Source organism: Homo sapiens, chromosome 1 (genome assembly GCF_000001405.40).
Source record: "Homo sapiens chromosome 1, GRCh38.p14 Primary Assembly".
NCBI classification, from domain to species: Eukaryota; Metazoa; Chordata; class Mammalia; order Primates; family Hominidae; genus Homo; species Homo sapiens.
This window is the reverse complement of record NC_000001.11, coordinates 206,316,074-206,332,151: the sequence shown is the minus strand read 5'-3', so window position 1 is coordinate 206,332,151 and position 16,078 is coordinate 206,316,074. Positions and strand designations below refer to the sequence as shown.

The following is a 16,078-nucleotide window of genomic DNA, read 5'->3' as shown; positions in this document are numbered from 1 at the left end:
CCAGAAGAGAGTGGGGGCCAATATTCAACATTCTTAAAGAAAAGAATTTTCAACCCAGAATTTCATATCCAGCCAAACTAAGCTTCATAAGTGAAGGAGAAATAAAATACTTTACAGACAAGCAAATGCTGAGAGATTTTGTCACCACCAGGCCTGCCCTAAAAGAGCTCCTGAAGGAAGTGCTAAACATGGAAAGGAACAACCGGTACCAGCCGCTGCAAAATCATGCCAAAATGTAAAGACCATCGAGACTAGGAAGAAACTGCATCAACTAACGAGCAAAATCACCAGCTAACATCATAATGACAGGATCAAATTCACACATAACAATATTAACTTTAAATGTAAATGGACTAAATTCTCCACTTAAAAGACACAGACTGGCAAGTTGGATAAAGAGTCAAGACCCATCAGTGTGCTGTATTCAGGAAACCCATCTCACGTGCAGAGACACACATAGGCTCAAAATAAAAGGATGGAGGAAGATCTACCAAGCAAATGGAAAACAAAAAAAGGCAGGGGTTGCAATCCTAGTCTCTGATAAAACAGACTTTAAACCAACAAAGATCAAAAGAGACAAAGAAGGCCGTTACATAATGGTAAAGGGATCAATTCAACATGAGGAGCTAACTATCCTAAATATATATGCACCCAATACAGGAGCACCCAGATTCATAAAGCAAGTCCTGAGTGACCTACAAAGAGACTTAGACTCCCACACATTAATAATGGGAGACTTTAACACCCCACTGTCAACATTAGACAGATCAACGAGACAGAAAGTCAACAAGGATACCCAGGAATTGAACTCAGCTCTGCACCAAGCGGACCTAATAGACATCTACAGAACTCTCCACCCCAAATCAACAGAATATACATTTTTTTCAGCACCACACCACACCTATTCCAAAATTGACCACATAGTTGGAAGTAAAGCTCTCCTCAGCAAATGTAAAAGAACAGAAATTATAACAAACTATCTCTCAGACCACAGTGCAATCAAACTAGAACTCAGGATTAAGAATCTCACTCAAAGCCGCTCAACTACATGGAAACTGAACAACCTGCTCCTGAATGACTACTGGGTACATAACAAAATGAAGGCAGAAATAAAGATGTTCTTTGAAACCAACGAGAACAAAGACACAACATACCAGAATCTCTGGGACGCATTCAAAGCAGTGTGTAGAGGGAAATTTATAGCACTGAATGCCCACAAGAGAAAGCAGGAAAGATCCAAAATTGACACCCTAACATCACAATTAAAAGAACTAGAAAAGCAAGAGCAAACACATTCAAAAGCTAGCAGAAGGCAAGAAATAACTAAAATCAGAGCAGAACTGAAGGAAATAGAGACACAAAAAACCCTTCAAAAAAATCAATGAATCCAGGAGCTGGTTTTTTGAAAGGATCAACAAAATTGATAGACCGCTAGCAAGACTAATAAAGAAAAAAAGAGAGAAGAATCAAATAGACACAATAAAAAATGATAAAGGGGATATCACCACCGATCCCACAGAAATACAAACTACCATCAGAGAATACTACAAACACCTCTACGCAAATAAACTAGAAAATCTAGAAGAAATGGATACATTCCTCGACACATACACTCTCCCAAGACTAAACCAGGAAGAAGTTGAATCTCTGAATAGACCAATAACAGGAGCTGAAATTGTGGCAATAATCAATAGTTTACCAACCAAAAAGAGTCCAGGACCAGATGGATTCACAGCCGAATTCTACCAGAGGTACAAGGAGGAACTGGTACCATTCCTTCTGAAACTATTCCAATCAATAGAAAAAGAGGGAATCCTCCCTAACTCATTTTATGAGGCCAGCATCATTCTGATACCAAAGCCGGGCAGAGACACAACCAAAAAAGAGAATTTTAGACCAATATCCTTGATGAACATTGATGCAAAAATCCTCAATAAAATACTGGCAAACCGAATCCAGCAGCACATCAAAAAGCTTATCCACTATGATCAAGTGGGCTTCATCCCTGGGATGCAAGGCTGGTTCAATATACGCAAATCAATAAATGTAATCCAGCATATAAACAGAGCCAAAGACAAAAACCACATGATTATCTCAATAGATGCAGAAAAAGCCTTTGACAAAATTCAACAACCCTTCATGCTAAAAACTCTCAATAAATTAGGTATTGATGGGACGTATTTCAAAATAATAAGAGCTATCTATGACAAACCCACAGCCAATATCATACTGAATGGGCAAAAACTGGAAGCATTCCCTTTGAAAACTGGCACAAGACAGGGATGCCCTCTCTCACCACTCCTATTCAACATAGTGTTGGAAGTTCTGGCCAGGACAATCAGGCAGGAGAAGGAAATAAAGGGTATTCAATTAGGAAAAGAGGAAGTCAAATTGTCCCTGTTTGCAGATGACATGATTGTTTATCTAGAAAACCCCTTCGTCTCAGCCCAAAATCTCCTTAAGCTGATAAGCAACTTCAGCAAAGTCTCAGGATACAAAATCAATGTACAAAAATCACAAGCATTCTTATACACCAACAACAGACAGAGAGCCAAATCATGAGTGAACTCCCATTCACAATTGCTTCAAAGAGAATAAAATACCTAGGAATCCAACTTACAAGGGATGTGAAGGACCTCTTCAAGGAGAACTACAAACCACTGCTCAAGGAAATAAAAGAGGATACAAACAAATGGAAGAACATTCCATGCTCATGGGTAGGAAGAATCAATATCGTGAAAATGGCCATACTGCCCAAGGTAATTTACAGATTCAATGCCATCCCCATCAAGCTACCAATGACTTTCTTCACAGAATTGGAAAAAACTACTTTAAAGTTCATATGGAACCAAAAAAGAGCCCGCATCGCCAAGTCAATCCTAAGCCAAAAGAACAAAGCTGGAGGCATCACACTACCTGACTTCAAACTATACTACAAGGCTACAGTAACCAAAACAGCATGGTACTGGTACCAAAACAGAGATATAGATCAATGGAACAGAACAGAGCCCTCAGAAATAACGCCGCATACCTACAACTATCTGATCTTTGACAAACCTGAGAAAAACAAGCAATGGGGAAAGGATTCCCTATTTAATAAATGGTGCTGGGAAAACTGGCTAGCCATATGTAGAAAGCTGAAACTGGATCCCTTCCTTACACCTTATACAAAAATCAATTCAAGATGGATTAAAGATTTAAACGTTAGACCTAAAACCATAAAAACCCTAGAAGAAAACCTAGGCATTACCATTCAGGACATAGGCGTGGGCAAGGACTTCATGTCCAAAACACCAAAAGCAATGGCAACAAAAGCCAAAATTGACAAATGGGATCTAATTAAACTAAAGAGCTTCTGCACAGCAAAAGAAACTACCATCAGAGTGAACAGGCAACCTACAAAATGGGAGAAAATTTTCGCAACCTACTCATCTGACAAAGGGCTAATATCCAGAATCTGCAATGAACTCAAACAAATTTACAAGAAAAAAACAAACAACCCCATCAAAAAGTGGGCGAAGGACATGAACAGACACTTCTCAAAAGAAGACATTTATGCAGCCAAAAAACACATGAAAAAATGCTCATCATCACTGGCCATCAGAGAAATGCAAATCAAAACCACTATGAGATATCATCTCACACCAGTTAGAATGGCAATCATTAAAAAGTCAGGAAACAACAGGTGCTGGAGAGGATGTGGAGAAATAGGAACACTTTTACACTGTTGGTGGGACTGTAAACTAGTTCAACCATTGTGGAAGTCAGTGTGGCGATTCCTCAGGGATCTAGAACTAGAAATACCATTTGACCCAGCCATCGCATTACTGGGTATATACCCAAATGACTATAAATCATGCTGCTATAAAGACACATGCACACGTATGTTTATTGCGGCATTATTCACAATAGCAAAGACTTGGAACCAACCCAAATGTCCAACAATGATAGACTGGATTAAGAAAATGTGGCACATATACACCATGGAATACTATGCAGCCATAAAAAATGATGAGTTCATGTCCTTTGTAGGGACATGGATGAAATTGGAAACCATCATTCTCACTAAACTATCGCAAGAACAAAAAACCAAACACCGCATATTCTCACTCATAGGTGGGATTTGAACAATGAGATCACATGGACACAGGAAGGGGAATATCACACTCTGGGGACTGTGGTGGGGTGGGGGGAGGGGGGAGGGATAGCATTGGGAGATATACCTAATGCTAGATGACGAGTTAGTGGGTGCAGCGCACCAGCATGGCACATGTATACATATGTAACTAACCTGCACAATGTGCACATGTACCCTAAAACTTAAAGTATTAAAAAAAAAAAAAAATGATTCAGTGTAGTTGTAGTGCTAGATATATTATATGGAATTATCAGCAGTTTACCAGTTGGTTCTTTATTAGTACTCCTGATGTCTTAAACAAAAATGAATAACTGTTTATCTTTTAAAAAAATAAATAAATAAAAAATAAATAAATAAATGGGATAAGCAGGGACAGCAGACCTGCCCTGCCTAACACACATGACTTTTGTGAAGATCCAATCAAACAAGGTGATGCCCTTAAACAAACTTTATAAACATGAAAGTGTTCTACAACTATATATCAGTATCAACATCTTTTCTTATAATTATGACAACTATCATTACTCAACAGCCCACACAATGAATTCATACCCACAAAACAAAGTGACTAGAATCATGTCTGAAAAGACAAATACATCTCAAAATTCCTTTTATAATAAACTTGTTTCATAAATTCCCTACTTCATTAGTATACTAAATAGGAACACTTCTTTTTTTTTTTTTTTGAGACGGAGTTTCGCTCTTGTTGTCCAGGCTAGAGTGCAATGGTGTGATCTCGGCTCACCGCAACCTCCGCCTCCTGGGTTCAAGCGATTCTCCTGCCTCAGCCTCCTGAGTAGCTGGGATTACAGGCATGTGCCACCATGCCCGGCTAATTTTGTGTTTTTTAGTAGAGACAGGGTTTCTCCATGTTGGTCAGGCTGGTCTCGAACTCCTGACCTCAGGTGATCTGTCCACATTGGCCTCCCAAAGTGCTGGGATTACAGGTGTGAACCACCGCACCCGGCCCATACTTTTTTTTTGCAGAGATGGGGTCTTGCTCTGTTGCCCAGGTTGGAGTACAGGGGCATGACCATGGTTCACTGTAGCCTCAAACTCCTGGGCTCAAGCAATCCTCCCGCCTCAGCCTCCCAAAGTGCCAGGCTCACAAGTATGAGCCACCTCACCTGGCCAGGAATACATTTTGTTGCTATTAATTTATCATCTGATTCTCTGGAAATTCCCAAACTCAGTGAATCTTCTGTGCCTAATGCAGCTGAGACTTTAAACGAAAGAATCATGTGCAAAGAGAAAAGGCCAGAGTGTACAAAAATAGAATCATGGAATTTCAGAGCTAGAAGGGACTTTCAAGATGGTCTAGAGTCTAGACCAAGCCTGTCATTTTCTGAGTGAGGAAACTGAGGCTCAGGGAGCCTGAGGTCACACAGACAGTGGTGGAGCAGGGCAAGAATCCAGGTCTCCTGACTAGTAACCGTTTTCTTATTTCATTGTGGTGGTTATTACATTTCATTCAAAAGCCCTTAGCATCTCAAAGGGCTGGTGCTGAAAGAGTTAATGGACAATGCTCAGAGCCCCAGAGCGCAGAGCTATTCTAAGACAACACATAACAAGAATACCAAGGGTCCATGAACCCAGAGGGAGCAAAACTGCTGCTGCCTAACGGCGCCTGAAAGCATGTTGACACACTGCATGTGGTTACACATGAAAGGCAAGTGAATAGGAAAAGCAGTTTTGAATCCCACCCCATTCTAATTTTGGACTGGCTCTGGGCACCTACTGGAGGACTGGGCCACACCCCAGTCACTCTGTAAAATGACCCTTCAGTTCCTTCACTCTCTCTATTCTGTGGCCTCAGTTAACCCCTTCTCTGCCTTCTTAAGGGCCATAAGAGACATCAGTAAAAGAGGACTATCAAGGAATTATCAAGATCCAGAAGTAAACCTAAGTGATTGGGGTCATCCTGTAACGAGAAGATTCCCAGTCTGGAGTCAGATGATCCCCACTAGTATCTACCATCCCCAAGCATGTGATCTGAAGCCTTCAACAGCCAGGTTCATAAATGCAAAAGAGAGCAGTTTCTGTAAGTGTGAGGCTTCAAGACCCCAAACCACCTTGCATCAGAATCACCTGGAATGCTTGTTTAAAATGTGGATTCTTATGCTCGTCTGCCAGAGATTACAACTTACTAGGGGTGGACTGATGCCCAGGAATCTGCCTTTCAAATCAGCATGTCAGGTAATTTTATGCACACCAAAAAATTTAAAAAACAATGCTCTTAAAGCAATGTTTTACAAACTGTGGGATTCAACCCATTAGTGAGGTTTAAAAAAATCAACTTATAGGTCACCAACTAGCATTTCTCAAAAAATTAAGTAGGCAACAGTAGAAGAGAATAACAGAAAAAAGTAGCCTGGATGCAGTGCCTCACACTTGCATTCCCAGCACTTTGGGAGGCTGAGGCAGGCAGATCACTTGAGGTCAGGAGTTTGAGACCAGCTTGGGCAACACAGTAAAACCTTGTCTCTACCAAAAATACAAAAAACTAGCTGGGCATGGTGGTGTGCACCTGTGGTCCTAGCTACTCGGGAGGCTGAGGTGGGAGGATCACTTGAGCTCAGGAGGCAGAGGTTGCAGTGAGCCAAGATGGCGCCATTACACTCCAGCCCGGGTGAAAGAGTGAGACCCCATCTCAACAAAAAAAAAGAATAACAGAACAAAGTAGAAAATCTCAGAGTACATCACACAAAGCAAAGATAAGTATTGTTCTGTGAAAGTATTGTTCTCAGCTATTTATGTGTATATAAGTATATTCCAGCTTGTAGTATAAAATATAGAGATTCATGATCAAAATGTTTTAAAGTCACTGCTCCAGAGTAATGGTCTTAAATTATGGGAGATAATTACGTATTCCAGATCCCTTTGAGAATCGTTTTTTTCTTTTTTTCTTTCAGTTACCATCCATAGGACTCTGCTTGATACTTTTTGAGAATCTGAGGATTCTCTTCTAAAGAAGAGAAGGAGGGAGGGAGGGAGGGAGGGAAGCGGGGAAACATTATAATTTGCATAGATAAATCCAGCATGTACCTGAACTTCTAGAAGCCTATCCCTCAAGGGCTTCTCTTGAAGACAGTTCCTACAATGTCTGTTCACAGTGGGCACCCAATAACCACTGTACCATGCCAACAGCTTTCTCCCCATGCTCTGTAAATGACCCCAGTGTCTTCCTTACATACCTGTAAGATAAGTGGTCCAACTACGATGATTGTTTTCCTCTTATTTTTAGGGTGACTAGGAATGCCAAAGCTAAACAATGTCCTACAGAACACTGGGAGAAAGCAGTTGGCATATTCCCAGAATGAGGATTCTGAAAGCAATGGTGTGGGTCCAATGTCACTGCTTTCCAAGGAACACGCTCCCTGTCTACAGGGAGTGTCTACTCACTCCCGACAAGGGCAGACAATGGCACTGGCACAATTGTGCACCCCCCAGTGATAAAGTCAATAGAAGAATATCTACTTTATTTGCAAGCTGGTGAATTATTTGACCTACAAATGTACCCACAGACACAGAGGCCCCAGCCTTACCTTCTCTATATGAAAAGGACATAAGGACATAAGGTCCCTAGTCCTAGATGGAAGATTTTAAAAGGGTATAAACGTCTAGAAAAACAACCAACAGCCCTAGCTTGATTATCAACACAGTCCCATCCTGATGGTTAAACCTATCAGTACATAGAAAGAGTAAAAATGAGAATAAAGGTTTTAAAAACCAGCCTTTGCTAAGTGAGGAATATGAAGAAGAGATGGAAAGTGGCAAGGTATAATGGGGGGACAGGGACGGTGAAGAGAAATGGAAGAGTTGGGGAGGAAGGACCATTGAGAAGATAGAGAATCAAACCCCAAAACTATTCTAAAATTTCCTGATGCTTTTCAGTAATTTGTTTTCATGCAGTGGAAATTGGCACAGCATCTAGGATACTTTGGGCCCATCTGTTTTTGAACTTAAGCTGTACACAAGATTCAGAACAGCTGGAATCAGCAGCACTGACCAGGTTATATGTGTCTGGAGGAAAGAGAAATAAAATGAGTGTGTGGGAGATGGAGGAAGAGGGTTAAATGGGGCAGAGGAAGGGGATTCTGGAAGCCATTCCCAGACAGACAGGAGAAAATGGCCAGGTCATCAGAATTGATGCAAAAGAGCTATTAGAGAGGCCAAAGCATGTAACTGAAGAAAGTCCAGGAGGAGAAATTTCAAGGATTTCAGAACAGGGCACTAGCAAACAGTCTCGCAAAAGGACGTAAAAGTTTGCAAGTTTGGGTGTCAATGTGCAGTGCCCCGGGGCTTCATGTCTGAAAGGCCAGATCAACATTATCCTAAGGTCTTACATCAAGCATATTACATGAGCTGCTGGTAAACAGTACAGACAATCATGGCCTACAGCTGAGCAGATGCTGATGCTGATGCTGATGCTGATGCTGATGCTGGATTCTTGGTTCGCTAAATGCAAAAGAGGTGATCAGGGAGAATGGCAAGGAGAACCTAGGAGCAGGCTTAGGAGAAACTGGCAAGGGTCTCAATCCATAAGATGGCTTGCTTAGAGACAGGGCTGGCCCAGAAGTAGGGGAAAATGGTTGGTTTGTTCTCAGTGCATGTCTGGCCTATGTCCCCATCACTGACTTCTGCTAAAGCCCTGACTTAATCTATGGATACATGGGTCTCTCACTTCTCCTGAATCTGCTCCATCTTTTTTAGTCAAGAGAAAAGGTTTGGCAGTGAGAAATGTCAAGACCCCATTCCGGAGAGGAAAACATTAAATACAAACAAATAAATAAACCAAATTATATTTCAAACAAATAATATAACTACATTGAAGGTCTGGAGGTTGAGGGATGCTATGGTTTGAATCTGGTTTGTTCCCTCCAAAACTCATGTTGAAATTTGATTGCAATTGCAAGTGGTATTGAGAGGCTGGGCCACTGGGGGTTGTCTGGGTCATGGGAAGAATCCTTCATGAATAAGATTAATATTCTCATGGAAATGAATTCTCACTCTTGTGGGACTGGATTAGTTCCTGAGAGAGTGAGTTGTTGTAAAGCAAGCTTCTTCCTAGTGTTTGCTTTCTTTTCACTCATTCCCTAGCCTTTCAGCTTCTCCACCATGTTGTCAGGCAGCACATGGCCCCCACCAAGAGCTGAGCAGATGCTGATGCCACATTCTTATACTCTCAAGCCACCACAGTCGTGAGCCAAATAAGCTTCTTTTCTTTATAAATTACCTGGACTCAGGTATTCTGTTATGGCGACACAAAACAGACTAAGATAGGAAAGAAAGAACTAGTCAGCTAACTTTTGAACATTGTGTCTTGGCCCTCAAGGCTAATAACAAAAAGAACTCTAAACCAGTATTAAAATCTAGTCAGTAGTCTTCTTTTTCAGAGGCATGGGTTAGTAATTCTTTTTTTTTTTTTTTTTTTGATATGGAGTCTCGGTCTGTCACCCAGGCTGGAGTGCAGTGGCACGATCTCGGCTCACTGCAAGCTCCACCTCCCGGGTTCACCCCATTCTCCTGCCTCAGCCTCCCCAGTAGCTGGGACCACAGGCGCCTGCCACCACGCCCGGCTAATTTTTTTTTTTTGTATTTTTTAGTAGAGACAGGGTTTCACCGTGTTAGCCAGGATGGTCTTGATCTCCTGACCTCATGATCGGCCCGCCTCGGCCTCCCAAAGTACTGGGATTACAGGTGTGAGCCATCGCGCCCGGCCTGGGTTAGTAATTCTGAAACAACTTTCTGTACACTCTAGGACTGAGCAATTAAGTGAAAATGTGTGTTATGGATAATAGGAACCAGGTTTCTCACTGTTCAGAGAACAGGAAAGGGGAGAAAATTAAATAAAACATGTGGTATTGGATTGGAATGAAAGATACTGATATGATCTCATAGGCTTTAATATATATAAATATACAGACAGATAAAGAAATAGCTATTTATAGAAGTACATGGGTGTGTGTGTGTATGTGTCTATGTGTACATACATATATCTACTACCTCTGTCTGCTGAAAGGGACTATAAATAATGGTACTTCAGTTACAAAGAGCATATTTAGCATCCATGGTTTCTAAATACCATTTCCCACTAAAAGCAACCGAGGCTCTCTGAAAAAATGGTCAACTCCACAGTAAAGGCAAGGAAAGTACAAGTTAAGCCTGGAACATCTTGTTGTGCCATAAAGTAAGGAAGTGCTCAAAGAACGATGGGGACATATCAATAAGACACAGAAGCCAGCTTGAAGGGACTCCATTGGCCAAATATAGAACAATATGAACATTAAAATAAAGATGGTAAAGGATTATAACCTGTTGAATAAAATAATAATCCACAAGTCCACACTGATATAAACCAACAACCAGACCAAAAAGTGGGGGTGATGGAAAAGCTCTTCCTTACAGTAGAATTGCAACTGATAAATGTAGAAGGAATGATGAAAACTGGAAAAATGACTATTTGGTAACCATCATAATAGAAAGTGATTCAAGCAAGAAATTATAATGGATGCTAAAACTAGTGAGTATAAGAGTTGAAGGGTAAGCTGATATTTACATGGTCTCAAAGTATCTCTCCACAATATATACATTAATTACAAAGCTTATAGAACAACTTCATGGTGGAGAAACCTAGCAGACACAACTGTAACCAAATGATCAAATTTAACATCATCAGTTATGGCACAAATCATCAGCAAGTGCTTCCTGATATGATGCACTGAGAAGAACGTGACATTACATTTTATGGTATTCCTGCCAAAAGTGTGTGACTTGAATCTAATAATAAGGAAATTATCAGAAATTGCCAGAAATATCAAATTAAGGGACATTCTACAAAATAACGGGGCCAATGTCAATGTCTTGAAATATAAAGACTTGGAAATCATCCCACATTAAAGGAAAGTAAAGAGATAAGACAATTGAATGAATTGCATAATCTTGGACTTTCGTTTGCCAAAAAAGGCCATTTTTAGAACAACTGGTAAAATCTGAATGTCTATTGATTAGATAATAGTATTGTATCAATCTGTATGTCCTGATTTCGATGACTGCACTACGATTATGCAAAAGAACATCCTTATTTTTAGTAAATACACCCTAAAGTATGTATGGATAAAAGGTCATCATGTCTGCAATTTACTCTCAAGTGTTTCAGAAAAACAAAATATGTGTGTGAGAATTGGGTATGAAAAGGGTGAAGTATAAAGCAAATGTAGTAATATGTTAACATTTTGGGGCAATCTGGATAAAATGGTAGTATACAAAAATTCTTTGTGCTATTCCTGCAATTTTTCTGTAAGTCTAACATTATGGCAAAATTTTAAAACTGTTTACAGATTGCATTCTGGAGAAAAATGAAATCATTTCTCCCATCTCTCCTTTGGCAGTAAGTGTATATTATTTTGTGTTATCTTTTTCCCATAAACTCTCTGTCTTCCACATGACACCATGAGCTTCCTGAGGGAAAGAACAGGATCCTACACCTCTTTGTGACCCCAAACCTGCAGAGAACCTATTGGTCATTAGCGATGAGAATGAAGTCAAGTGTTTATTACTGATTCACATATAATAAAGGTGACTAACAGGGTGACTCATAACCCAACAATTCTGTCTCCTCAACCTGGAAGTCTACGCCTTATCAGAGCACATACAAATGTATATAAACAAACTTAAAATATTTCACATTAAGTAATAACTCCCATGGGCTAGAATGGTAGCTTATTCTTCTATGTATATTTAATTCCTTGTACAACTCTTGGCACAGAATAAATGTTCAATAAATGTTTGCTGAAAGATTAAGTGAACCTCACATACCAGGATTGGTGTTCACCAAATTCGTACAAATGGACAAAACAGCCAGAAGTGGACTTCTTTTCCAGAAGGAATAATAGTACAAAGATGGGCCGGGCGCAGTGGCTCACGCCTGTAATCCCAGCAGTTTGGGAGGTCGAGGTGGGCAGATCACCTGAGGTCAGGAGTTCGAGACCAGCCTGGCCAACGTGGAAAAACCCCATCTCTACTAAAAATATAAAAAGTAGCCAGGCATGGTGGTGCGCACCTGTAATCCCAGGTACTTGGGAGGCTGAGGCACGAGAATCGCTTGAACCTGGGAGGCAGAGGTTGCAGTGAGCCGAAATGGCATCATTGCACCCCAGCCTGGGCAACAGAGTGAGAGACTCCATCGCAAAAAACAAAAAACAACAACAACAAAAAATTGTACAAAGATGTTCTTAGCTTCCAAAAGAATAAGCGATTTTATCAAAGATTTTCAAGCCAGTTGTTTTTTGCTAGAGTGGCTCAAAAACATTCCCAGATCTGGTAAATCGCTTTTTTTCATCTGATGTACGATAAGAACCTTTCTAAAGTCTTCGTCAATTTGGTGCCAAGGAAGCCTACCAAAGATGTATTATATTTTTTCTATTATGGCTTCCCTGAACTATGCTGTAAAGTAGAAGGTTTCCTAAGCACTTATCATCTGGCTGGAAACTCGGTATGTGTGCTTGGGGACTAGGGGATGGGGATCAAGAAGAGGCAGCACTGAAGTCTTCATAAGCCATATTCTCATCACTCACCTCTGTTTTTTGTTGTTGTTTTTTTTTGAGACGGAGTCTCGCTCTGTCACCCAGGCTGGAGTGCAGTGGCGCGATCTCGGCTCACTGAAAGCTCCGCCTCCTGGGTTCACACCATTCTCCTGCCTCAGCCTCCTGAGTAGGTGGGACGACAGGCACCCGCCACCACACCCGGATAATTTTTTGTATTTTTAGTAGAGATGGGGTTTCGCCGTATTAGCCAGGATGGTCTCGATCTCCTGACCTCGTGATCCGCCCGCCTCGGCCTCCCAAAGTGCTGGGATTACAGGCGTGAGCCACCGCACCCGGCACCTCTGTTTAATGAAGTAATGAACATCTAGCAAAACCAACACTGAGAAAGTATCAGGTTAAAATCCAAGACAAAGCCCATAACAATAACCCATTAATCAGTATATCATAAAAACCTGAGTTGCGTCCTTCAGAGGGCACTAAGGGAAGTGCACCTGTGTGCTCTTCCTGTGTGTTTTTCCTCCTATGTGATATGGTTTGGATGTCTGTCCCCCCCCAAATCTCATGTTGAAATGTGATTCCAAATGTTGGAGGTGGGGCCTGGTGGGAAGTGACTGGGTCATGGGGGTAGATCCTTCATGAATGGTTTAGCACCATCTCTGTGGTGATAAGTGAGTTCATGCTCACTTAGTTCACAAGAGATCTGGTTGTTCAAAAGTCTGGGACCTCCCCCGACTCTCACTCCCACTCTCACCATGTGACATGCTGGCTCCCCGGTGCCTTCTGCCATGATTGTAAGCTTCCTGAGGCCTCACCAGAAGCAGACACCAGCACCATGCCTCCTGTACAGCCTGCAGAACCATGAGCCAATCAAACCTTTTTTCTTTAGAAATTACCCAGCCTCAGGTATTTATTTACAGCATCGCAAAAAATGGCCTAATACACTGTGTATTTGTATGCACATGTATCTAGGACTCTGTGGTAAGAAAGGACACACATTTCCACGCATTACCGGAGAAAACAGGAGCAAGAACAAGACTGACAAATCCAGTCAATGTATAAAAAGGAGTGAGAGAGGAGAAGGAGGGGAGGAAGTCAATACACCTAAGAAGCCAACCCTTTCTTAACTGTGCCTGCCTTCCTGGGTTCACCTTGCTCTGTTTTAGAGTCCACACAATAGCCTGTGCTTTGTCTTCAAGGAAATCCATGAGGCATCATTTCTACCTGTACACTGCAGAAATCAATTCTGTATAACTTCCTCCTTTTGCTAAATCCCTGAGATGCTGCCTATAAATTCAAAGAATTTCAAGCATCAACAATAACCCCTACCCCCACCCTAGAACTTAGTTATGAACATCTGTTGTTTACAAGGGTTCGGGCTGAGAGCTGCCAGACTTGTTCTGCAACCTCTACTTTACCACAGAGGCTGCCAGGGAGGGATGTCTGAATTTCATGCAAGGATGCCCTGTCCCGACTGCTTAAGCAGGAATCAGCAAACACAGCTCAGCATCCTACTGTTGAAGATAATCCTAGTTTGTTCGATTCATTTTCTAATCCTGGCTCTTTAAACAGCTGCACCCTAAATATATTAAGACGCAGAACTGTGCTCATTGATTCTCCCTGAATTTAAAACCCAAGGAGCAACGACAGTGGAGATGTATAAAAGGAGGAGCTAGCAGAAAAGATGAACCTATTTCAACTCTGAAAAACCCAAATCCTACTTTTTTTTTCATTCTCTCTAAATCTTTCGTTAACAGTGAGTCCTTCCCATGTCACACTGTTTCTTTTCAACGTGTGATACTTCTGTGCAGTGTAGGAATTAGATATTAAAGTCTTTACTTCAATTAACCAGGGAACAAATCTAATTGAGAACATAACTATACTATCTTTTACCTTTCCCTGACTGAACCAAGTACAAGTCCCTCCTGAGTACTCCACCTTTCTTCTTTTCCTGGTGACTACTGGAACCTGCTTTAAATGGGGTGCTATTTTTAAATTCCTGTGCACATGTGTTCTTATTATTCTCTCTCAGCCTGCCCGATTTCCCCCATTTCAATTATAAAAACACGTATGGCAGAGACTGTCTTTTCTTCTTATCTTGTAAACCCTCCCACTTAACACAGTCAGCTCCCAATAAGATGACACAGCTTTTGCCTTGAAAAGAGAACTGGATCAAAGTAAATTCATTTAATTGGCTGCGAATTCCTGAGAATTAAAAATCCCAAGAACACATTGCCTAGTAGTAGTTAGACACATTGCTTCCTGTGTCTGCTACAGAATTATTATGGGGCTTACAGGAGCAGAGAAAAGGAAAACTAAAAGCTCCCCGCACACTAGCACTGTTGTCAAGGAACGTGATCACTACTGTCTTTGCTCCATGGAGCTGAACGCCTGAGGTATGGCCTGCTGACATTCCAGTGGCAAATCCTAGGAGACACAGGAAACTCTCAGGAGTCTCCAACATCCTCCCAATTGCTCATAAAAGCATATTTTGCTTCTAACCTGCCCTCTTATCATTCCCTACCCTAAAAGGAAGATATAAAGCCATTTATGCAGAAGCTTGGGAGCTTCTGTTTGGCCTCATGAGACAAACAACCCAGTAAACCACATACTGTTATGTTCATGACTAAGGTTTGTACTGCACTGGCCTGCTGGCCTCGATGGTAGATACTGCAGGAGGCTGAATAGGACTGGCCTTCTTTTATTTGCCCAAGTCAAAATTGGGACCTGTGGGCCTCAACAGTATATCTTTATAGAAACTCAGCAATTTGGCAATAGGGCTAACTATTAACTCCAAGAGGACGAGAAAATCAGAGAGTGGTTGTATGACAAATGTCTTCCTCTTCATGATTATGAGCCTGGATCTAAAAGTAACCCACCAAGGTTGAACTATATGACACCTTACAGAACAAAACATACAATTGCTGAGTTTTTATAGGGACTGACCATGCAATTACACAGAGTCACATAATTGCCTATGTCCTGCCCAATGTAGCTATACCATAAAAATCAGGGTAGGGGATGAATTTGTCATTCATGAGGGCCCACAGGGGTCTGAAGAAAATGGAAACTGACATATTACCCAGCCAGGCTTAGGAATACTTAACTCTGCACAAGGAATGACTAGTGTATCTAATATACCAGTGTTTTACCCAGTACAGCTGTGCTCAGGCCCAAATCCTAAGGATAGGGATAATAGTTGCTACTATTTACATTTACTATGTGCCAAGCTGTCCTAAGTGTTTCACATATTATTAATTCACTTAACCAGCATAACAACTCCATAAGGTAGTTATGAATATTATCTTCATTTTGCAAACGAGGATACTGAGGTGATTAAAACCTTTCATCTAAAATCACACAGCAAGTAAGTGGGAGAAATCCAGGATTGTGAACC

General features: G+C 41.2%; 1 protein-coding gene across 15 annotated transcripts in view; it reads right to left on the bottom strand.

Annotated features, from left to right (window-relative positions):
- The window catches only part of SRGAP2 (SLIT-ROBO Rho GTPase activating protein 2), a 260,896-nt gene that overhangs the window by 132,285 nt on the left and 112,533 nt on the right, over positions 1-16,078 (bottom strand). The window lies entirely within an intron of this gene.